This window comes from Homo sapiens, chromosome 15 (genome assembly GCF_000001405.40).
Source record: "Homo sapiens chromosome 15, GRCh38.p14 Primary Assembly".
NCBI lineage: Eukaryota > Metazoa > Chordata > Mammalia > Primates > Hominidae > Homo > Homo sapiens.
Genome location: NC_000015.10, coordinates 71,356,634 through 71,380,354, shown reverse-complemented (window position 1 = coordinate 71,380,354; position 23,721 = coordinate 71,356,634). Strand labels below are relative to the sequence as shown.

Genomic DNA, 23,721 nt, shown 5'->3' with positions numbered 1-23,721 from the left:
TGACCAAATAAGAGTTATGAGTTCTGTACTGAGACCAAATAAGTCCTTTTATGATGACGACAGAGAGTGGCACCAATGCCCAAAGTTTTGATCAATCTCTCAAAATTTGGTCAGAGGCTGACCAAAAGAAGAAGGGAATTGTTAAATTCAACTAAATTTGGCTTGAGAAAGCCTCTGTACTTGCATACTTGAGTCCTTACATAACTGCAACCAACTTAGTACGTAAACAAAAATGAAAACCTAACTTTGGAATTTGCCTTTGTAATAAGTAGCTGAGTCTCAGCCGGTCACAGCAGACAACCTTCAGTTAATCACAGGTGGCTATAAGGCAAACTCCAAGCTTTAACCAGTCCAGCTTTCTCTGTACCTCACTTCTGTTTTCTGTATCTCACTCCCCTTTTTGTGTCCATAAATATTATTCAGCCATGTAGCAGCCCTGGTCTTTCTGAACCTGTTCTGGTTCCAAGGGCTACTCCATTTGTGAATCATTCAATTAAATTCTGTTAAATTTAATTTGTCTGAAGTTTTTTTTTAAACAACAACAACAACAACAAAGGTCAGCAAATAAACACATACATGTGTAAAGAAGCCATTTGTGGCCGGGCGCGGTGGCTCACGCCTGTAATCCCAGCACTTTGGGAGGCCGAGGCGGGTGGATCACGGGGTCAGGAGATTGAGACCATCCTGGCTAACACGGTGAAACCCTGTCTCTACTAAAAATACAAAAAATTAGCCGGGCATGGTGGTGGGCACCTGTAGTCCCAGCTACTTGGGAGGCTGAGGCAGGAGAATGGCGTGAACCCTGGAGGCGGAGCTTGCAGTAAGCCGAGATCGCACCACTGCACTCCAGCCTGGGCGATAGAGCAAGACTCCATCTCAAAAAAAAAAAAAAAAAAAAAAAAAAGAAGCCATTTGCTTCAGTAATTTGTCATAAACTACAAACTTAATGGAGTCAGAGGTTGGAAGGAAAACTGTCCTCTTAGGAATGGAGGGCTGGCGAAGGACAAGTTAGATATGACAACAGCTGACTATAAGAAAACAATAGCCATGTAAACCTAAGAGAACCAGAATCCCCTTAGAACTGAAAAGATGGGTAGGATGACCTTTCCTTGTTCTCTGTAACCAACAGCTAAGATGTACTTTAACAATGAGAAAATGAGAAAAGCTAAAGAAACCCTCCCCACCCACACACACCAGTGCTACCTAATCCTGGAGCAGAAGCCTTAAAAAGCTTTTGATCTCAACAACTGGCTTAAAACAAGTTACCCTCTGGCCGGGCATGGTGGCTCATGCCTATAATCCCAGCGCTTTGGGAGGCCAACAGAGGAGGATTGTTTGAGCCCAGGAGTTCAAGACCAGCCTAGGCAACATAGTGAGACCCTGTCTCTACATAAAATAAAAAGATTAGCCCAGCATTGTGGCATGCAACTGTAGTCCCAGCTACTCAAGAGGCCGAGGCAGGAGGATCCTTTGAGCTCCGGAGTTCCAGGCTGCAGTGAGCCATGAGCACACCACTGTACTGCAGCCTGGGCAACAGAGTGAGACCCTGCCTCAAAAAAATAACAAAAAACAATAATGACAACAACATTACCTTCTTATACCTAGAAGAAAGAATTAGGTTTATTAAGCAGTGACTCTCAACCATAAAATATTCATTAAAAAATATGCTTTAATTATGGCTAATATTTAAGCTTATTCCACTAAAAAAACTAAAGCATAATGGAGTGGAACAGTGCAACTGGCAGGACGAAGCATCCCCTGGTACTTTATATATGCAATTACTGCATTACATTGTTTTCCTACCTGTGTTCTCATTGAAATTCTGAATTCCTCAAGGATGATGGGACCTTGTCTTTCTCATAGCCTAGACAGAGGTCTTCTCACACAACAAGTGGTTGGTAATTGATTGTTCAATTAGAATGAATCAACCAGTGCCCATTCTGATGGTCCACACCTGGAAAGAAGCTGGCTAGCCATCTACTCACAAAAGCCTCCACCCCTCATTCATCTGGTGGGAGCTCTCCAGGCCACTTTCATCATGCCTTTACAAGAATAGTGAAGGCATCCCTTTCTCAGCATCTTTATTTTGACCCGATAGAAAACTGTATGATGTATTGATATTATTAGAAAAAGCCACTTTACTGTTACCTGCCAGAAAGTTGTTCTAATAAATATACACATCACTAATCTTTAGAATCAATAGTTATAATAAAATATGAAAAAAATCAAAATAAAGATATCTACAACGTAAATGCTATCCCCTTAGATGCAGTACCCTGTGCAGTGCACAACCTGAACAACTGTACAAGGCAGATAATTTCTTCCCGACATCTCAGTAGCTAGCCTTGAACAACTAAGCCTATAAGTAGGTGGAAAATGGCAGGACAATTTATGTTCTGCTATTTTCAGGTTGGCTTTCAGAAGAGTCACTGAAGGAAATTGTGTGTGTGTGTGTGTGTGTGTGTGTGTGTGTGTGTGTGTGTGTGTTGTGGATATGTCCGGGAATAGAGAAGAAGGCAAGAGTGTGATCACAAGCAGGAAAGAACAGGACTTTAAAGAATGACTTCTGTATATCACAAAGTTCTCAGGCCCAGGATGACCTGCAACCTTGTCAGCAAAAGAGTTTCCCTGGAGATACACGGTTAGCTTAGGTCCCGAATAGCTGCCCTGAAACAGAATGGCCCACTGCACCCTGGGTGTTGTCTCTAAACCCACAGGCAGGCCTCATCACGCCCGCCCTCTTTCTCCTTATCCTCCCTGTAGCACTAACACTGCAGACGACCACCTTCTCTTCAATGTCCTCTTGTCCCTTTGCATCCCTGTCACTACAGCCCCCTGGTTCCCTTCCCCTGGGGTTGTTCCTTCCCTGATTCTACTTTTTTCTCCACCCCGATGCAGACATTCCCCAAGGGTCATGGCTCAGAGTCCACAGCTCCTTCCTCCCCTCTCCCCTTTCCTGCTGTCTCCTAGGATGGGGAACACCCACATTCCTGTTGATCCTAGCCCACATACTGCCTGTGGTCCTGGATTTCCATTCACCTGCTCAGCATTCCCACCAGGATTCCCTGCTTTCACCTCAAACTCATTTAGTGTTAATTTCAAGTCCTCAACTTCCTCTCACATCTGTTCTTCCCCACTGGGCATCCCTCTTTGTGTCAGGTTTGATGTTATTCCAGTCACCTTGACTCTTCTCTGTCCTTTACCCCCTTCATGAAATCAGCCATCCTGCCACATTGATTCCCTCCTGGGAGTGTCTCCAGAATTCCTTTCTCACGTCCATTTCTTTCCTCTTCCCACAATCAGTGCCACATCAGGCCCAGATAACTGTGGCCACCTCCTTTTGGTCCCTCCCTGCACATCACCCTGCACACACCTGCTAGGTGAGTATTCGTACAGCATCTCCTTAAGGTGTCACCACCTTCCCCAACCCAGAGCCTTTGGTAGCTCCCTCCTAGGGCATGAAGTTTAAGCTCCAGAGCTGGGGGATTGAGACCCTCAAAATCTGATCTTACCAATTGTTTGCTGATGTTTCAATCCAATATGTCTCGGCATGAGTTCTTAACCCAGCCAGACTGATCTACTTACAGACCTAATCATATTTTTCATATTCTGACCTCATGCCTTTGCTTATACTGGTCCCATCACCTGGGATCCCTTTCTTGGATAACTAGCACAGGTTGAGGAGACAGCAGAGACTAGGAGTCTGTGAACATAAGTTGGCCTGGTTTGGGCAAAGAGTTTGCAAATGGGAGCAAGGGGGAAAGATTTGTTTTTCTCAGGGCAGATCAGAATTATGTGTGTCCCAGGGGAGATCCAAATGATCTGACCCAACCACAGAATGGCCAGAAAAAGGTTGCAAGTCAGAACAAGGGTTGGTGGTCTGGCCAAACAGTGACAGGGCAAACTATCAATCAAGACCCAGAAGAGTGGTGGTATGAAGGAGGTGAGTATGGGACTGGTGTGGGAGACTCAATCATGGTAAGAACAGTGTCAAGAAACAGGACATCTAAACTAGGGCATAAGGAAGGAGGCTGGGTCCTAAAAATTCAGAGCATGAAGATCAGAAGAGAGCCTGCAGCCAGGCCCTCAGACCTGAGCACTGCCTTCATCTTGTCCTACATACATTCAGGATTGGCTCCAGTCAGAGACAGCACATGCAAGAGGTGTGAGCAAAGGATGTGAGTACTCCTCCTCCTGCACCCATGACAGACATTACTAATCAATTCTGGCACTCTTTCACCTTGGGCACAGTCATGGTCTCAGAATCTCTTGCATAAGAACTCTCGCCATTAATCAACTGCAAGTAGCAGGAGACAAACTCTATTTGTTATGCATAATCACAAAGTCGCAGGTAGGGCCTAGTCGGTATGTGACAGTACATTGGTCTCAGTGATAAATAATACAGAGTCATAGTAGAAAAGTGCTAGGTCAGTTGTTCTCAAACTTTGAAGTTCACCATAATCACCTGGAGGGTTTATTAAAACCCAGATTGCCAGGGTCCTCCTCCAGAGCCTCTGATTTAGTAGGTGTGGAATGCAATGGAATGTGAAAGCAAATTTGGGAGTGAGGCCCGAATTTGCATTCCTAACAAGTTCCCAGGTGATGCTGATGCTTTTGGTCCAGGGACCGCACTTTGAGAACCACTGCACTAGATAAAACCACATCCTCTCTCCTCTTGTTCTTAACTTATCTTTCAAGGCTGGCTGGAACCCCTTCTCCTGGGCTTCAAATGACCCCTTCCAACTCCACTCACAGAGGACATCATCAATACTGCTTGTGGAATCTGTCAACAAACATGTATTGTGCCAGGAGTAACACAGACAGGCAAAGTCCCTGCTCCCAAAAAAGACACAGTAGGGGGCTGGGGAAGAGTGACCCAAACAACTGAACAGGCAATTACAATTCAGTGTGAAAGTGATGGGAGGGGAGAAGCATAGGCAGCGATGAGAACACAGAACCAGAGCATCCAACTCGGTCTTGGAAGGTCAGAAAAGGCTGCTCAGAGGAAAGCACCAATGAGGTTGAGATGAAGATGGAGAGAAGTTGTCAGGAAGAGGGAGAAAACATCACTGTCTTGGGCTATTTCCCTTTCGCACACATATGTGTCCACATGCACATACTCTGCCTCATCTCTCCATGTAAACTGTAACATACTTGGATGAAAAGATCATCTTTAGTGTACACAATCCTCGTGGTGCTCGGTCCCTGGCAGACATGCAGTTTTTATTAAGTGAATGCATACATTTGCAACATCCTGGAATTGTTCTACATTTAGGAAGTGGGGGAAATGGGGAAAAGGGAGTGTGAGGAGATGTGGATTTGTCTGAAATCCCTTCTGTGGGCTTCTGGGGATTTCTGTGGCTGTGAGGATTTCTCTAAATACCCGCAGGACAGGTGATTCCACATTAAGCCCCTACAGTACACCCTTTCTTAGTCTGGGAGGCTCACTTTTACCAAGCAGCACGTCTGTGCATGGTGATTAATGGTCTGCTGTCCTAGCCTTTGTGTCTACCCAGCCCAAGCCACCATCTGTGAATAGTCTCTTGCTTGAGTAATAGCCTTGTCTAGCAAATTGTTTTGCACATTTATAAACAGAGATTGGGCGTTTTCCTTTGCTGCCTTAATTTCAAGTGATTAGGCTGAGGTCATTCCTGCAAGCAACTTCTTTCCTAGAATTCAAAGTCTGAAGGTCAGGGCCATTGCTCACCCTCAAGATTCATTCCTCAATGCAGCCTCTGAAGAAGCTGGAGGGAGACCCAGAGCTCTGATGAGGTAGAGGCAGCCTTTCTAACAGCAGAACTGGTAGAACTTCACTCCTTCCCCTAGAACCACCACTTTCTGATTTGGATATTTAGATGAACATTTTCTTACCACATCCCCTTCTTATTGCATCCAATTATTCATATATAGCATGTGGTTAGCTCATGTGCCACTTTAGATGGGATAAGAAGTAACAGATACTCACTTGCTGATCTCTCTCTTATCCAGCTCTGTCTCCCCAGAAGATAGCACACCCTGATGCATACTGAGTGCTCGACAGATGGGAAATGAGTGAAATAATGAAGATATCGACTTCATGGTACATTTGAAATGAAGAAAATGAACTGAGTGCTTTGCAAAGAAAGGTACACTTCCCTCTGCATCCCCCATTTGAGAGTTTCTACCACTCCACAGTCAAGGACATCAGGGCAGAAGGACTGTAGTACTGAGCACTAGAAACATGTGTTTGCATCACTTTGGAAGAGGACAAACATCACCCAGCCCATGCTCAGCTGTTCCACACAAGAAAATACAAGCCAGCATTTTGCATATCATTCCAGGTCTACCCTCTTGACTTATTTTGTAGTTGAATTCAGTCCAGTGTTCACATAACATCCTGAGGGAAGGGTTGTCCTAGTGACTTTACAACTGATTGCAGACAAGCAGTTTCAGAATTTTTAAAGTAATGATTTTTAATTCTCAGGGACCATCATGCAGCATTTGTGTGTATATAATGCTTTCTCCAAGAAACACTCACTCACTCTCAACGGGAACACTGTCTTTCGTGAACTGCCTGTGACCTTCAGGATGAAAAGCCAGAGTCCCACCACACAGAGTCACAGATTTTGGAAGCAGAATGGACTTTGACAACATCTGCCTGGACCCTTGTAGCTCATGGAGAGGCAATTTGGACAGGAGCAAGTCAGTGGCAGAGTAGGGCCAAGAACTCGAGTTTCCTGACCACCATTCGAAGCTGTCTTTTAGAAGCTGAAGGAAAGCTTCACCACCAGATCTTATGGATCCAGAAAAGATCCCAAAAATATAGTTGGGTTTGAGGTATGTCAATGTGTTTCAATGATGATTTGCTATTTGAGTCATAAGCACCTCCAAAATGTCTTTGTTTCAGCCACCGGGATATCCTGTGTATTAGACCCTAAAATAGGAGTCATGTAAGTTCAAGTTAGGAGAAAGCCAGAGAACTCGGCACCCAATAAAGAAAGGAAATAACAGTCTTTTCAAAGACTCATGAAACAGCCACTAAAACTGCCTGTGTATTAGACCATAATACAAAATTCACTACATTTTAAAAGTTCAGACTTATTCAGGGCTATATTTCTGACCCAAAAAGCAATAAAACTAGAAATTATTAAGAATTATTTTTAATCCATCCACTTGCAGTTATAGGCATTCTTCTAAATAACTTTTTGATTAAAGAGGCAGTTAAGACTGAAATTATGAACTATTTAGATAAACTGTTTCCAACCCCAACCCTAATGCTATCTGAATATTTTTAGACCAGTCTTAGAATCTCTCGATTTTCTTCTCTCTGAAAGGAGGTTGTTGCAAGATTGAAAAGAGATAACAAGAAAGAGGGCCTAGCCTGCGGGAGGGGCGCCCGCCATTGCTGAGGCTTGAGTAGGTAAACAAAGCAGCCAGGAAGCTGGAACTGGGTGGAGCCCACCGCAGCTCAAGGAGGCCTGCCTGCCTCTGTAGACTCCACCTCTGCAGGCAGGGCATAGCTGAACAAAAGGCGGCAGAAACCTCTGCAGACTTAAATGTCCCTGTCTGACAGCTTTCAAGAGAGTAGTGGTTCTCCTAGTACGGAGTTTGAGATGTGAGAACGGGCAGACTGCCCCCTCAAGTGGGTCCCTGACCCCCGAGTAGCCTAACTGGGAGGCACCCCCCGGTAGGGGCACACTGACCTTACACGGCCAGGTACCCCTCTGAGACGAAGCTTCCAGAGGAACAATCAGGCAGCAACATTTGCTGTTCAGCAATATTTGCTGTTTTGCAGCCTCCACTGCTGATACCCAGGCAAACAGGGTCTGCAGTGGACATCCAGCAAACTCCAACAGACCTGCAGCTGAGGGTACTGACTGTTAGAAGGAAAACTAACAAACAGAAAGGACATCCACACCAAAACCCCATCTGTACGTCACCATCATCAAAGACCAAAAGTAGATGAAACCACAAAGATGGGGAAAAAACAGAGCAGAAAAGCTGAAACTTCTAAAAATCAGAGTGCCTCTCCCCCTCCAAAGGAAAGCAGCTCCTCGCCAGCAACGGAACAAAGCTGGATGGAGAATGACTTTGACAAGTTGAGAGAAGAAGGCTTCAGACGATCAAACTTCTCTGAACTAAAGAAGGAAGTTCGAACCCATTACAAAGAAGCTAAAAACCTTGAAAAAAGATTAGACAAATGGCTAACTAGAATAACCAGTGCAGAGAAGTCCTTAAATGACCTGATGGAGCTGAAAACCATGGCACAAGAACTACGTGACGAATGCACAAGCTTCAGTAACCAATTCGATCAACTGGAAGAAAGGTTATCAGTGACTGAAGATCAAATGAATGAAATGAAGCGAGAAGAGAAGTTTAGAGAAAAAAGAGTAAAAAGAAATGAACAAAGCCTCCAAGAAATATGGGACTATGTGAAAAGACCAGATATACATCTGACTGGTGTACCTGAAAGTGATGGGGAGAATGGAACCAAGTTGGAAAACACTCTGCAGTATATTATCCAGAAGAACTTCCCCAACCTAGCAAGGCAGGCCAACATTCAAATTCAGGAAATACAGAGAATGCCACAAAGATACTCCTCGAGAAGAGCAACTCCAAGACACATAATTGTCAGATTCACCAAAGTTGAAAGGAAGGAAAAAATGTTAAGGGCAGCCAGAGAGAAAGGTCGGTTTACCCACAAAGGGAAGCCCATCAGACTAACAGTGGATCTCTTGGCAGAAACTCTACAAGCCAGAAGTCAGTGGGGGTCCATATTCAACATTCTTAAAGAAAAGAATTTTCAACCTAGAATTTCATATCCAGCCAAACTAAGCTTCATAAGCCAAGGAGAAATAAAATCCTTTACAGACAAGCAAATGCTGAGAGATTTTGTCACCACCAGGCCTGCCCTAAAAGAGCTCCTGAAGGAAGCACTAAACATGGAAAGGAACAACCAGCACCAGCCACTGCAAAAACATGCCAAAATGTAAAGACCATCGATGCTAGGAAGAAACTGCATCAACTAACGAGCAAAATAACCAGCTAACATCATAATGACAGGATCAAATTCATACATAACAATATTAACCTTAAATGTAAATGGGCTAAATGCTACAATTAAAAGACACAAACTGGCAAACTGGATAAAGAGTCAAGACCCATCAGTGTGCTGTATTCAGGAGACCCATCTCATGTGCTAAGACACACATAGGCTCAAAATAAAGGGATGGAGGAAGATCTACCAAGCAAATGGAAAACAAAAAAAGGCAGGGGTTGCAATCCTAGTCTCTGATAAAACAGACTTTAAACCACAAAGATCAAAAGAGACAAAGAAGGCCATTACATAATGGTAAAGGGATCAATTCAACAAGAAGAGCTAACTACCCTAAATATATATGCACCCAATACAGGAGCAACCAGATTCATAAAGCAAGTCCTTAGAGACTTACAAAGAGACTTAGACTCCCACACAATAATAATGGGAGACTTTAACACCCCACTGTCAACATCAGACAGATCGACGAGACAAAGTTAACAAGGATATCCAGGAATTGAACTCAGCTCTGCACCAAGTGGACCTAATAGACATCTACAGAACTCTCCACCCCAAATCAACAGAATATACATTCTTCTCAGCACCACATTGCACTTATTCTAAAATTGACCACATAGTTGAAGTAAAGCACTCCTCAGCAAATGTAAAAGAACAGAAATTATAACAAACTGTCTGTCAGACCACAGTGCAATCAAACCAGAACTCAGGATTAAGAAACTCACTCAAAACCGCTCAACTACATGGAAACTGAACAACCTGCTCCTGAATGACTACTGGGTACATAATGAAATGAAGACAGAAATAAAGATATTCTTTGAAACCAATGAGAACAAAGACACAACGTACCAAAATCTCTGGGACACATTTAAAGCAGTATGTAGAGGGAAATTTATAGCACTAAATGCCCACAAGAGAAAGGAGGAAAGATCTAAAATTGACACCCTAACATCACAATTAAAAGAACTAGAGAAGCAAGAGCAAACACATTCAAAAGCTAGCAGAAGGCAAGAAATAACTAAGATCAGAGCAGAACTGAAGGAGATAGAGACATAAAAAACCCTTCAAAAATCAATGAATCCAGGAGCTGGTTTTTTGAAAAGATCAACAAAATTGATAGACCACTAGCAATACTAATAAAGAAGAAAAGAGAGAAGAATCAAATAGACACAATGAAAAATGATAAAGGGGGATATCACCGCTGATCCCACAGAAATACAAACTACCACCACAGAACACTATAAACACCTCTACACAAAAAAACTAGAAAATCTAGAAGAAATGGATAAATTCCTCGACACATACACCCTCACAAGACTAAACCAGGAAGAAGTTGAATCCCTAAATAGACCAATAACAAGCTCTGAAATTGAGGCACTAAGTAATAGCCTACTAACCAAAAAAAACTCCAGGACCAGACGGATTCACAGCCGAATTCTACCAGAGGTACAAGGAGGAACTGGTACCATTCCTTCTGAAACTATTCCAATCAATAGAAAAAGAGGGAATCCTCCCTAACTCATTTTATGAGGCCAGCATCATCCCGATACCAAAGCCTGACAGAGACACAACAAAAAGAGAATTTTAGACCAATATCCTTGATGAACATTGATGCAAAAATCCTCAATAAAATACTGGCAAACCAAATCCAGCAGCACATCAAAAAGCTTATCCACCATGATCAAGTGGGCTTCATCCCTGGGATGCAAGGCTGGTTCAACATACACAAATCAATAAACATAATCCAGCATATAAACAGAACCAACGACAAAAACCACATGATTATCTCAATAGATGCAGAAAAGGCCTTTGACAAAATTCAACAGCCCTTCATGCTAAAAACTCTCAATAAATTCGGTATTGATGGGACGTATCTCAAAATAATAAGAGCTATCCATGACAATCCCACAGCCAATATCAGACTGAATGGGCAAAAACTGGAAGCTTTCCCTTTGAAAACTGGCACAAGACAGGGATGCCCTCTCTCACCACTCCTATTCAACATAGTGTTGGAAGTTCTGGCCAGGGCAATCAGGCAGGAGAAAGAAATAAAGGGTATTGAATTAGGAAAAGAGGAAGTCAAATTGTTCCTGTTTGCAGATGACATGATTGTATATTTAGAAAACCCCATTGTCACAGCCCAAAATCTCCTTAAGCTGATAAGCAACTTCAGCAAAGTCTTAGGATACAAAATCAATGTGCAAAAATCACAAGCATTCTTATACACCAATAACAGACAGAGAGCCAAATCATGAGTGAACTCCCATTCACAATTGCTTCAAAAAGAATAAAATACCTAGGAATCCAACTTACAAGGGATGTGAAGGACCTCTTCAAGGAGAACTACAAACCACTGCTCAACAAAATAAAAGAGGACACAAACAAATGGAAGAACATTCCATGCTCCTGGATAGGAAGAATCAATATTGTGAAAATGGCCATACTGCCCAAGGTAATTTATAGACTCAGTGCCATCCCCATCAAGCTACCAATGACTTTCTTCACAGAATTGGAAAAAACTACTTTAAAGTTCATATGGAACCAAAAAAGAGCGCACATAGCCAAGACAATCCTAAGCCAAAAGAACAAAGCTGGAGGCATCACACTACCTGACTTCAAACTATACTACAAGGCTGCAGTAACCAAAACAGCATGGTACTGGTACCAAAACAGAGATATAGACCAATGGAACAGAACACAGCCCTCAGAAATAATACCACACACCTACAACCATCTGATCTTTGACAAACCTGACAAAAACAAGAAATGGGGAAAGGATTCCCTATTTAATAAATGGTGCTGGGAAAACTGGCTAGCCATATGTGGAAAGCTGAAACTGGATCCCTTCCTTACACCTTATACAAAAATTAATTCAAGATGGATTCAAGACTTAAATGTTAGACCTAAAACCATAAAAACCCTAGAAGAAAACCTAGGCAATTACATTCAGGACATAGGCATGGGCAAGGACTTCATGTCTAAAACACCAAAAGCAATGGCAACAAAAGCCAAAACTGACAAATGGGATCTAATTCAACTAAAGAGCTTCTGCACAGCAAAAGAAACAACCATCAGAGTGAACAGGCAACCTACAGAATGGGAGAAAATTTTTGCAATCTACTCATCTGACAAAGGGCTAATATCCAGAATCCACAAAGAACTCAAACAAATTTACAAGAAAAAAACAAACAACCCCATCAAAAAGTGGGCGAAGGATATGAACAGACACTTCTCAAAAGAAGACATTTATGCAGCCAAAAGACACATGAAAAAATGCTCATCATCACTGGCCATCAGAGAAATGCAAATCAAAACCACAATGAGATACCATCTCACACCAGTTAGAATGGTGATCATTAAAAAGTCAGAAAACAACAGGTGCTGGAGAGGATGTGGAGAAATAGAAACACTTTTACACTGTTGGTGGGACTGTAAACTAATTCAACCATTGTGGAAGACAGTGTGGTGATTCCTCAAGGATCTAAAACTAGAAATACCATTTGACCCAGCCATCCCATTACTGTGTATATAGCCAAAGCATTATCAATCATGCTGCTATAAAGACACATGCCCACATATGTTTATTGCAGCACTGTTCACAATAGCAAAGACTTGGAACCAACCCAAATGTCCATCAATGATAGACTGGATTAAGAAAATGTGGCACATACACACCATGGAATCCTATGCAGCCACAAAAAAGGATAAGTTCATGTCCTTTGTAGGGACATGGATGAAGCTGGAAACCATCATTCTCAGCAAACTATCACAAGGACAGAAAACCAAACACTGCATGTTCTCACTCATAGGTGGGAATTGAACAATGAGAACACTTGGACACAGGAAGGGGAACATCACACACCGGGGCCTGTCGTGGGGTGGGGAGGGATAGCATTAGGAGATATACCTAATGTAAATGACGAGTTAATGTGCGCAGCACACCACCATGGCACATGTATACATATGTAACAAACCTGCACGTTGTGCACATCTACCCTAGAACTTCAAGTATAATAATAATAAAAAAAAGAATGGCATAGTGGTAATCAGTTTAGACTCTGTAATTTAACAATAAAATATTTTTTTAAAATAAAAAAAAAAAAGAGAGCCTAGCATGAGGTAATTGTTCAACAAATGCGATGACATCATCAAGGTCAACCTTGTGTAACTGGGTGTTATAACACAATGGGTTGTTCCTGTGTTCTAAAAATAGTGGAAGCTACATTTTGAAGGACCGCTATACAAACATTTCAAAGTTCATGAGCCAAAACTCACTAACGACTCTTGAATCCCTTGTTCACACAGAAGATGGAATATGTTTTGAGAAAATGGAGCTTGAAAGAGGAGCTCTTTGGAGAGAGCTGTGCTGGCATTTCCCTCTGCCAAGGAGAAGGGTCAGGGTCCTCTCCTTCACAGTATGAGAAGGGCGCTTCACTGAGACCATTAGAGGGTTCGATTTGGTCTCCCTACAATTGTTGGGACACAGGGTACTGGGTCTAATTCCCACCTGGAAATCTAAAAGATTGGGTGTCCAGTGGTATGAGCAAAGGACAGGTGCCTGTTGAGTACTGTTCTCTTGGAGATGATCGGAGCAAATAATGTGGGAGTGTTTTTCATAGGCTGAAGAGAAGGCAGACTGGGGAGAGAGCCAGACTGCATTGATTTGAAATCCCACATAAGAGGATTCCATGAGAAAGTGACTGACCCCAACTGAGAGGGCCCATATAGTGCGGGCCATTGGGAAAAACAGCCAGAGGAAAATGCAACATGTGTTGTCATGGGAAATATAGTTCAATGTTCCCAGGAGGAGCCTCAGAAGAACTCTCAAAAGAGCCCATGAGAGGAGGAGTCACCTCTAAAGACCTTCCAGGCCAATCCAGTGGAGATATCACAATGGTACTCATCAAGCAGCAGCAGCTCTTCTTCCCTCCCTATACCCAGCAGAGTAAAAAATCTTGGACAGCCGGGAGCTGTTTCCCAGCACTTTGGGAGGCCAAGACGGGCGGATCATGAGGACGGGAGATCGAGACCATCCTGGCTAACATGGTGAAACCCCGTCTGTACTAAAAATACAAAAAAATTAGCCGGGCATGGAGGCGGGTGCCTGTAGTCCCAGCTGCTGGGGAGGCTGAGGCAGGAGAATGGCATGAACCTGGGAGGCAGAGCTTGCAGTGAGCCGAGATCACGCCACTGCACTCCAGCCTGGGCAACAGAGTGAGACTCCATCTAAACAAAACCAAAAACAAAACAAAACAAAAAAACCTGGGACACAAGTAGGAGGGAGGATGTGTGAAAGGACAGCAAGAAGGAACCTCCACCTCTTCTCACCTGAGAGAAGTTCTAGTTTAGAGAGGGGAGTGGTAATTTAACTTTAAAGCAAGTTTTGATCACTACACAGGCTAGATGGATACTTTTAGTAACTGACTTGCGACTGTGACTGTGTTGGCAACTTCCAGTGGTCCTAGGAGTCTTGATGACTTGAGAGTGATCAAAAAAGTCATGAGACTACCTGAGTTTTCAACCAAGAACAGTGAAATAACTTCTCCTACTAAATTACTTTTAAGGGGACAATGAGAGAGAGAGGGAGGAAAGTTGCTTGTAGCTACATCCCATGAGTTTCCTGTTCAGTTGGTGGGTTGGACTTAACAAGATTCATCTCCAATCCAAACAGAACCCACTTCAGCATGCTATCATACCATAAGGCCTCCCAAGGAAGCAAGAGAACAGAACAGACCTCCTTTCATTTCATAAAACCTCTTCCTTGTCCCCCACACCGCCCCACTGTATTTTTACAAAGCGTCAGCAGATTGTGCTGTTTATGGCTATTTTTGGGAGACAAGGAAATACATGAGAGCATCTCAAGCAGGCAGAAAGACAGAGTAGAAGGATGGAGTGGAGGGGTGCCCTGGGGTTAGGCTCCTACTCTGGAGTCATGCCTGGGTTACCATTTTGGTGGCTTTGTTACTGTTACATCAGCAACAGTGACAGGAAGGGTAGAGACTGACAACCACAAGGCAAGCTGAGAAAGTTAGTACCTACAGCTTTCTTTGCTTCACCTGGAAATCCTCATGCAAAGTCCTTTAGTCACTACACACCCAATCACATGGGTCATTGGCTTGCCCTCTCTCTTCTTTTCTGTCTTTCTCTCTCTCATACACACACACACACACACACACACACACACACACAATGGGGGGGGCAGTGGATATATTTTCGTGAACTACAAGTGAGTATCATTTCCAAGGGTCTGATAAATGATTTTTGTATCATCTCTGGAAAAGAGAAACTCAGGGAGATGCAGTTTTAGGTGCCAAAACAATAGAATTCTTAGGATATTTTATTGTTTAGGTGGAAGCAATGGGTCAAAACATTTGTGATTAGGGCTGTCTCAAACAACTGCAATTTAACAGAGCTTTAAAAAACCATTAATTCACATGCATACAAGTTCCATTTGTAACCCACCCCCAGAATCAGCTTCCAGCAATTTCATACTGTTTCCCATTTACTTTGACCACAACGTGTGCCCCTTACCAAGACACGCTTTAAAGCTCAGCGCTATGCAAAGGCTAAAAAGAAAACACAAGTGTTTGAAGAGTAGGTGACAAAATAAAATAAAACTAAACTATGTGCGTACTAATGATTCGAAATATGAGATCTGGAAACGTTGATGTACAAAACAGCTACTCACCCATTAGGAATTGACACACAGGTCACCTCGTCTATGAAGCCCTCTTGAACCCCTAAGGGGAAATTAGTATTTGCTAGAACCACGACCTGCTAGTTTTTTCTTTAGTTACTCTGTGAGGGAGGTATCATTTTCCGCATTTGAACAGGTGAAGACAGCTGAAGTAACTTGCTCAAGGGCACATAGCTAATGTCTAGCTAAAGTACCCCAGATAAGGTGGGAAATTAATCTGTATTAGAAACAGCTATCACCAGGCAAAGTGCTAAGTAATGAAATATGTGCCTTCTCATTTGATACAATGGCCTCTGAGGCAGTTCATCTTACCGCCCAACTGCAGATGAGCAAACTTGTCCAGACTTGCCCAGTGTTGCAAGAACGATGGGTAGCAGGCTGGGGCTCCCAGGGTTGCTGACTCCCATCCCATGTGATTCCACGCCATCATGCTGCCTTTTCTGTAACAGCCTCTGAAATTGTCCACCCCACCCCACTTCCACTGGCCAAACCTCAGCCCTCAACTAGGTTACTTCTGGTGAAGGCGTCTCTTTTCACCTTGTATTCCCACAGGCTCTATCAGAAAACCTCCTGTCTAGAGTTCAACCATCTTCTATCGCCTTGAGTAACACAACTTTAATGAATACTATTTCTATCAGATAAAATTAGGAGCAACTTGGAAAAGAGTAAAGAAAAGATTTCTGAATATCTTTTGTGGGGAATAATGAGGCATTGTTCAAGGAACCCTTTCTGCACCATCTCATTTTATACGTCTGCGCCTTTCATTACTTTAACTGAGTTACTTTACAACTCTATAAACTGTAGAAAACTGATAGTAATGCAAATGAATTTTGTCAGCAGAGATGCAAATGGAAACCTTGCCTGGTCCCCAAGAGGCCAATTATCCTAAGCAAATTCCTTTCCGCATACCTGATGACCTCTATATGTGTCCGTTCTCTCCTTTGAACCAGTTGTAACATCATACTGGTTCCCTCATTAATTAATGAGTTAAATAAAATCTTTGACGCATGTTCATTTTGTCTTTGAAAAGGAGTCATGATTTCGCTTTTTGTTCTTAATATTCTTTAACATTTTCCACTGCTGCCTGAGACACTATCAGCCTGGGTTACTCTATTCTAGAAACACAGTATGCTCATTCCTTCCCTTTTCAGGTCTCCCCTGCCCAGGGATCACAAACACACACACGCGTACACACATGCACACCAGGAGCAGTGAGCAGGCTTCTAGGGAAAGTTGAGAAGGTGAGAAAGCAAAAAGGGAATATAACAGCCAATTAGACCAAGGTTGGCAAACTATGGCCCTTGGGCCCAATCTGGTTTACTACTTTGTTTTTTTAAATTTTTATTGCAATGCAGCCATATCCATTCATTTATGTACTATCTATGGCTGCTTTTGTGTGACCACAGCAGAGTTGGGTAGTTGTGACACAGACTGGCCTACAGTCTAAAATAGTCAATAGCTGGCCCTTTACAGAAGAAGTTTGCTGACTTCTGAATTAGACACACTCTGTACCCTTTACAGCAAGCTTGTCCACCTGCCGCCCGCAGGCCACATGCAGCCCAGGATGGCTTTGAATGTGGCCCAACACAAATTCAAGAGCTTTCTTAAAACATTACGAGATTTCTTTTGTGATTTTTTTTTTTTTTTTTTTTTAGCTCATCAGCTATCATTCGTGTTAGTGAATTTTACTAATTCACAATTCTTCCAATGTGGCCCAGGGAAGCCAAGATTAGACACCCCTGCTTTACAGCATTTATAATTTGGTGAAGGGAAGCAGTGAGTATACATAGAGAAGAATATAAAACACAATGAAATAAAGTGGATCTCCATATGTGTGGAGGGAGGGGGAGGATGAAATTAGGGTGGGAGTGCTGCGTGCGGACGAAAACGGAACTCACTGTCGGCAGTAACTCCAGAGCATAGCACCGGGACCATGCATGGAAATTAATTTATTTATTGCAATTTTTCTTTTTTATTGCAAAATAGTTCAAGAATACTAAAAAGCAGTATGATCGATGTATGTGCTTACCTTAACTCACTTTAACATTTTGTCATATTTGCTTCCAATTTTATTTTCACAGTCTTTAATCTAGGAAGATGAGGCTAGGCTTTTCTCTCTCAACTGACTATAAAATTAAAGGCAATCCATGGAATATTTATTCTACCCCAGATTTAAAGAAGCTTGTAGTGGTAATGATTTGTTCTACAATCTTGCCTTTGTTTTGTCTCATTTTTATTTCTGAAAACTAAGATTCATATGGTTCAAAATTCAAAAGGTACAAAGGAGTAAAGAGTGAGATTCTCCTCCTACTTCTGTACCCCAGCCACTCATTATAATTTTTTTTGAGACTTAGTCTCACTGTGTCAACCAGGCTGGAGTGCAGTAGCACCATCTTGGCTCACTGCAACCTCCACCTCCCAGGTTCAAGCGATTCTTCTGCCTCAGCCTCCCAAGTAGCTGGGATTACAGGCATGCACCACCAAGCCCAGCTAATTATTTTGTATTTTTAGTAGAGATGGGGTTTCGCCATGTTGGCCAGGCTGGTCTCAAACTCCTGACCTCAAGTGATCTACCTGCCTTGGCCTCCCAAGTGCTGGGATTATAGGCATTAGCCACCACGCCCAGTTCCACTCATTATTTTGAATAATATAAATTTCTTATGTTTCCTTCCAGATATATTTTATGCATATTTGACCAAATATGTATGTATATTTATTTGTCTGCCTCTTTTTACACATTTTTGGTGTTCACTCAACACTTTATTTTGGTGACTCGTCCAGATCAGCACATACACAAAGTCTCATTTTCTGTTTTCAAGATTTCATATCCCTTTGTATGGATGAAATATAATTTGTTTGACCCGTTTTTTCTCCCATAGCATTGATACTGTTTCCAATCTTTTGTGATGACAAACAAGACTACAATGGATGATCATGAGCATTTATTTCTGCCTCCAAATAGTGAAATAGCTGTAGGTAAAAGGTAGAATTGCTAGGTCAAAAAAAAGTGCATTTATAATTTTGATGGTTATTACCAAATTGCTTTCCACAGAGAAGTTCCCCAAATTACACTTCCATTGGAAATGTATGAGGAAGCCCATATCTTCAACGATCACAGGTGATATTAGCATTTTTTATCTTTGCCACTCTGAGGGGTGACAATAGCTTTAGGTTACACCTTCCTCATAATGAACAAGGCTGAGCATCTTTTCATACAGTTCAGTTGTGTGTATTTGCACCTTTAAGAACTGTATGTGAAGCATTTTTGTTCTCTTTTCTTTTGGGTGACTGTCCTTTTTTGGGAGGTAGCACTTTAAAATCCATCCAAAGTGACATGATCACAGCAGAATCTGGGCACAGAGAAGTAGGTCAGCTAATAGTCACTTTTAAGCTCTTTCCCAATAAATGTTAAAAGACATGTATGGTCTTCTCCTTCAGTGGCTCCCCATTACCTACAGAATCAAGTCCAGATCCCTCAGTAGGATACCCAGGGCCCTCCATGCTCTACAAACACCAGACAGCATGTGCCACCCTTGCCTGCTCACCTCTTCTCCTTTTTCTTTCAGGACACTCTATCCACTTTTCTTTGCCTAGATAACTCTTCTCTGTATACTTGGTGATTCAGCTCAAGTGTCACATTCTCCAGGAAATCTTCCCTGAAACCCAAATTGTATGGTATACCTCTCTACTATGCTTCAATGGGATCATATGCAAACTTCCATTAAAATTATCTCTAAGATATCCATCTCCCCTGTTAAACCATAGGCTCTTTAGGGTCTTCTTTCTGTTTATGCTTCTGGCTCAAGGAAGGCACCTTCAGTGCTGACTGACCTGAAACTCTATTAAAAATTAACCACACAATTTTGAATATGCTCCCTTGTAAAGTGAAAAGGTGAGATTAGATAATTTCTAAAGCCCTTCTTGGATCTATGAATACATGAACTGTGGATGAAAAAGGCATCTGAGGAGGAGTCATATGCTAGCAAAATACACAATTGGATTGGATGCCGGGGAGAGAGTCCGAGTACCGTAGTGAACCCAAAATGATGCGCAAAAGAACTGGACCCTGCTAAGGTGGCAGTAGTAGACTAGAATGGCTAAGAGGGATTTTTTTAAGCAAAAATATTTATGGGTCTTTATCCTATAAAGATGGCCACCATCAATTTCTTCCCTCACTGTATGCATACGCTGCTTCTCATATGAAGAGATAGAGCCGAGTAACCCATCGTGTTGAATCTGGATTGGCCTTAGTAACTTTCTTGACCAGTAAAATGTGCTAGAAGTGAAGATCTGAGATTCTAAAGCTAGGTCATAAGAAACCCTGCAGCTTCCAACTGGATCTTTTAGAATGCTTGTTCTGGGGAAAGTTGGCTGCCATGTAGGAAATTTGACTACTCTAAGACCACCATGTTGTGAGGAAGCCAACACAACACGAGCTTCCTCACATAGGAAGGGAGAGATTCTCCATCAGCCCCCAGCTCTTCCCCACGTGCCAGATAAGTGAGCCAAGAAGCCTTCGGATGAATCCAGCCTCAGCCACCATCTGAGTACAGCTGCAGAAAAGACTAAGCAAGAATCTCCCAGCTGAGTGCAGTCAACCTCCAGAACCACGAAAGATAATAAACTGTTCTTTAAGCTACTCAATTTTGGGGTGGTCTGTTATACAGCAATAGACAGCTAAAACACAGAGGAAGCAGCAGACACAAGATAACAAGGTGGGAAGGACAGAAGATGAATCCTCACATCTTTCTCTTTTTCTTTCTCTGTTTTTTTTGTTTGCTTGTTTTTGAGACAGGGTCTTGCTCTGTCACCCAGGCTTGAGTGAACCGGCATGATCTCAGGCTGGAGTGCAGTGGCAAGATCTTGGCTCACTGCAACCTCTCCCTCCCAGGCCCAAGCGATCCTTTCACCTCAGCCTTCTGAGTAGCTGAGACTACAGGTGCACACCATCACACCTGGCTAATTTTTCATATTTTTGGTAGAGATTGGGGTTTTCTCATGTTGCCCAGGCTGTTCTCAAACTCTTGAACTCAAGCAATCTACCCACCTCGCCCTCCCAAAGTGCTGGGATTACGGGCGTGAGCCACCACACCCAGCCACATACCCAGATTTCAATCCCAGCTTGGCTTATTACTGAGTGACCTTTGGGAAGGCTCTTAACTTCACTAAGCCTCAGTTTGCTCATCTGTAAAATGGTACGAATACAGCTTCTACCTACCAGGGTTACTGTGAAAACCAATGAGATAACGTAAGTAATGTTTTTGCTAAATAGAAGGTACTATATCAATAGAGGGAGAATCAAAGATAACTCAAGATTAATAAGAGGACAGTGATGCGAATGATGCAATGGGGGTCAGAAAAGAGTTTTAAGCACGTTAAGCCTGACCACAAAAAGAGTGTCTTACACATCTTCTGTGCCCCTACGCCTCCTCACACTGTCCTGGGTGTGTACAAGGTTCTTGTGACTGAGTAATTCATAGCAGAAGAGAAGATGCGAAGGGGAGGACAGGAGGGTGGGAAAAGGTGTTGACTCTTTAGACTGAGGATTACGTTAACTTGTACCAAATTAAAATTAGTAACAAGGACTATCCTTGCCATTACACAGCCAGCTTTGCTATGGTAAAATGAATCCTCTACCTAAATAGCTGACAGGGTGGGCTATGCTTAGGCAGGGTGTGCTGGGGAGGGACAGAGGAACTCATTTTTGCCATTTCCACTGGGTGTCAGGCCCTAAGCTGAGTGTCTTCACATTCCTCTCTTAATCTTCTTGGCAACCCCCATTAGTATCATCCCCATTTTACACAGAAGGAAGCCAAGGTTCAGAGAAGCTAAGTCACTTGCACTGGGCCACCCAGATAGTAAAGAAAGATGATGATGACAGCGGTGCTGATGATGTTAAGTGATACTAATTGAGCAGGCACTATTCTAGGCACTTTACGTGTATTACTTCATTTAATTCTCACAGCAACCAGAGGTAAATCCTATTTTTGCCTCCATTTTACAGATGGGGAAACCCATGCACAGTGAAGTGGAGTCTTGTCCAAGGCCATGCTGTTGATAAGTGGCTTAGCCAGAATATGAATTTATGAAATCTGGCCCCAGAGCTGAAGCTCTTGAAAGCCCCACACTTGTTCCTGTCTGTCACACTATGAGGACAGGTCAGTCCTATCAAATGATTCTAAATGGAGACCCTATCTAATGGGATTTCTGTCGGATGGCTGCCCCAAGTCCTATCTTATGACACTCTACAATTAAAATACAGTTACTAACAGTCACTAAATAGTCCCTGGACTGATTATACAGAGGTTTTGCCATATGGGAAACCCTGACATAGGAACTCTCAATTAAACCATCAAAAAAAGAGGCCAGGGCAGAATGTTAAGGAACAGCTTGGAAGGAGGGGAGGGAGGCCGATGCCGTACCCTGGGGTGAGAGAGACACCTTTGAGGCTCTCCAGCCAAATGTGACTAAGCCCTTCAAAGCCCAGAGAAGGGGAAGGTCAGGAAGACCGTGCTACAGGCACTTGTCTGGAAAAGAAGGAGAAGCCAGCTAAGACCTGAAAATGGGATCTGGCCGCCCCTTCCCAAGGAGGCTGAGCCTCCAGTTCTCATGTCTATAGCTGAGTCCCACAGTCTTCACAGACAGCAAAGCCACCTCAGAACCTCACCCAAGTTTGAGGTATTTGGTAGGAATCGCGCAGCACAAGGCCAGCATGAATGCTTTTTCCCCCTCTTTGAATAAGTAAGGCAGTTGGTAGTGTGAAGGGAAACTAGAAAAACCTCAAAACAGATTATTTTGCAAAATAATATAACTCAATTATTTTCAGACAGAAGGGGAAAATCCATTTCTCGCCACATTTAATTTTCTCACTCTCTTTCCTTTATCCTTCCCTAATCTCTGTCCCCGTATCTGGAATGTGATCCTGATGTGCACTCCCCTTCCTCTGCCAGAAAGGACTCCGGTTGCTGGATTCTGCCCAAGACACTTAATCCAGGCCCTGCCCCTATTAAAACTGCAGGCGGGAGAGCCAGGAGGGGAAAGGGAGCAAGGGCGTGGGGCTCTGCATAGCCTCCCCAGTGCCTCAAATACTTTCTCGAAACCTGGCAGCCGCACCCATGGCTCTTGGCTGCTGCAGCCCACGCCCTCTTAGAGAAGCCAGTCTGCAGGGAGTCCCACTGGGTGGACTTGCTGAAATACACACTGCAGAGTGAGCCTGTCAGCTCCCACCAGGGACAGGAGTGGTGGCCAAGGAAACGCAGGCCTCCCAGCCCAGCCCTCTCAGCAACACCTCAGCGATGGGGTCTAGAGCAGGGAATGACACCCTCTCATAACCGAGTTTAGAGTCCCTGCAGTGCAGATGTCCTACAGTAGGCTCCTTGTCCATGCAGTGGCCACCAAATCTAAAGACTATCACAAGCCGTGGGGCCAGCTAGGATGCAAGGCAAGAAGGCAGGAGGCAGAAGGACATTCCTTTGTATTCTCTCCATCACCTAGGGCATGCCTGGAAGTAGTTTTCTTGGCCCACAAGCCACAGGGCACAAGTGGAGCAGCTGCCATGCCCTGTGTACCTACTAATGCTGGGAGCACTGACATTGATATGCTCTTCTTACCCCAAATCCACAAGGCCAATGTCATCTCTCACACGTTTGATGTGCGCAGCCATGGTCTCTCTCTGCTACCCCTTGGGCTGGACTCAGTGATCACCCTGTGCGCTGTCGTTTGGTGTCTTCCTGCCATACAGTGCTACTGGTGCTCTAGGAATAAAATTCCCTGTAGAGAAGGGGCTGTGAGTGTGAAGAAAGTCGGGGGAGGGAGAAGACAGCAGATCCAGGTCCCAGCTATGAAAGACCCCCATCTGACCTAAGGCAGGGCTTCAGGAAATAGATGGACCACCATGAGAGAGGGCAGCACCCTGCATGAGCCCTGAGGATTTTGGTCTCCTCAGCCCCAGCTTGCTTAATAAAACAGTTAGTACCCCTGCTAAAGCCTC

The 23,721-nt window shown here is 43.4% G+C and overlaps 1 protein-coding gene across 7 annotated transcripts in view, besides 3 other annotated features; it reads right to left on the bottom strand.

The window, feature by feature from the left end:
- Nucleotides 1-23,721, bottom strand: part of THSD4 (thrombospondin type 1 domain containing 4) — a 686,490-nt gene that overhangs the window by 403,029 nt on the left and 259,740 nt on the right. The window lies entirely within an intron of this gene.
- Nucleotides 15,624-16,131: an enhancer, noted in NCBI's record as "H3K27ac-H3K4me1 hESC enhancer chr15:71656563-71657070 (GRCh37/hg19 assembly coordinates)". NCBI's record gives its function as "activates a minimal SCP1, AML or CMV promoter by ChIP-STARR-seq in naive H9 embryonic stem cells {active_cell/tissue: H9 hESC(naive)}" and the evidence as "EXISTENCE:reporter gene assay evidence [ECO:0000049][PMID:30033119]".
- Nucleotides 16,132-16,639: an enhancer, noted in NCBI's record as "NANOG-H3K27ac hESC enhancer chr15:71656055-71656562 (GRCh37/hg19 assembly coordinates)". NCBI's record gives its function as "activates a minimal SCP1, AML or CMV promoter by ChIP-STARR-seq in naive and primed H9 embryonic stem cells {active_cell/tissue: H9 hESC(naive and primed)}" and the evidence as "EXISTENCE:reporter gene assay evidence [ECO:0000049][PMID:30033119]".
- Nucleotides 16,640-17,147: an enhancer, noted in NCBI's record as "NANOG-H3K27ac-H3K4me1 hESC enhancer chr15:71655547-71656054 (GRCh37/hg19 assembly coordinates)". NCBI's record gives its function as "activates a minimal SCP1, AML or CMV promoter by ChIP-STARR-seq in primed H9 embryonic stem cells {active_cell/tissue: H9 hESC(primed)}" and the evidence as "EXISTENCE:reporter gene assay evidence [ECO:0000049][PMID:30033119]".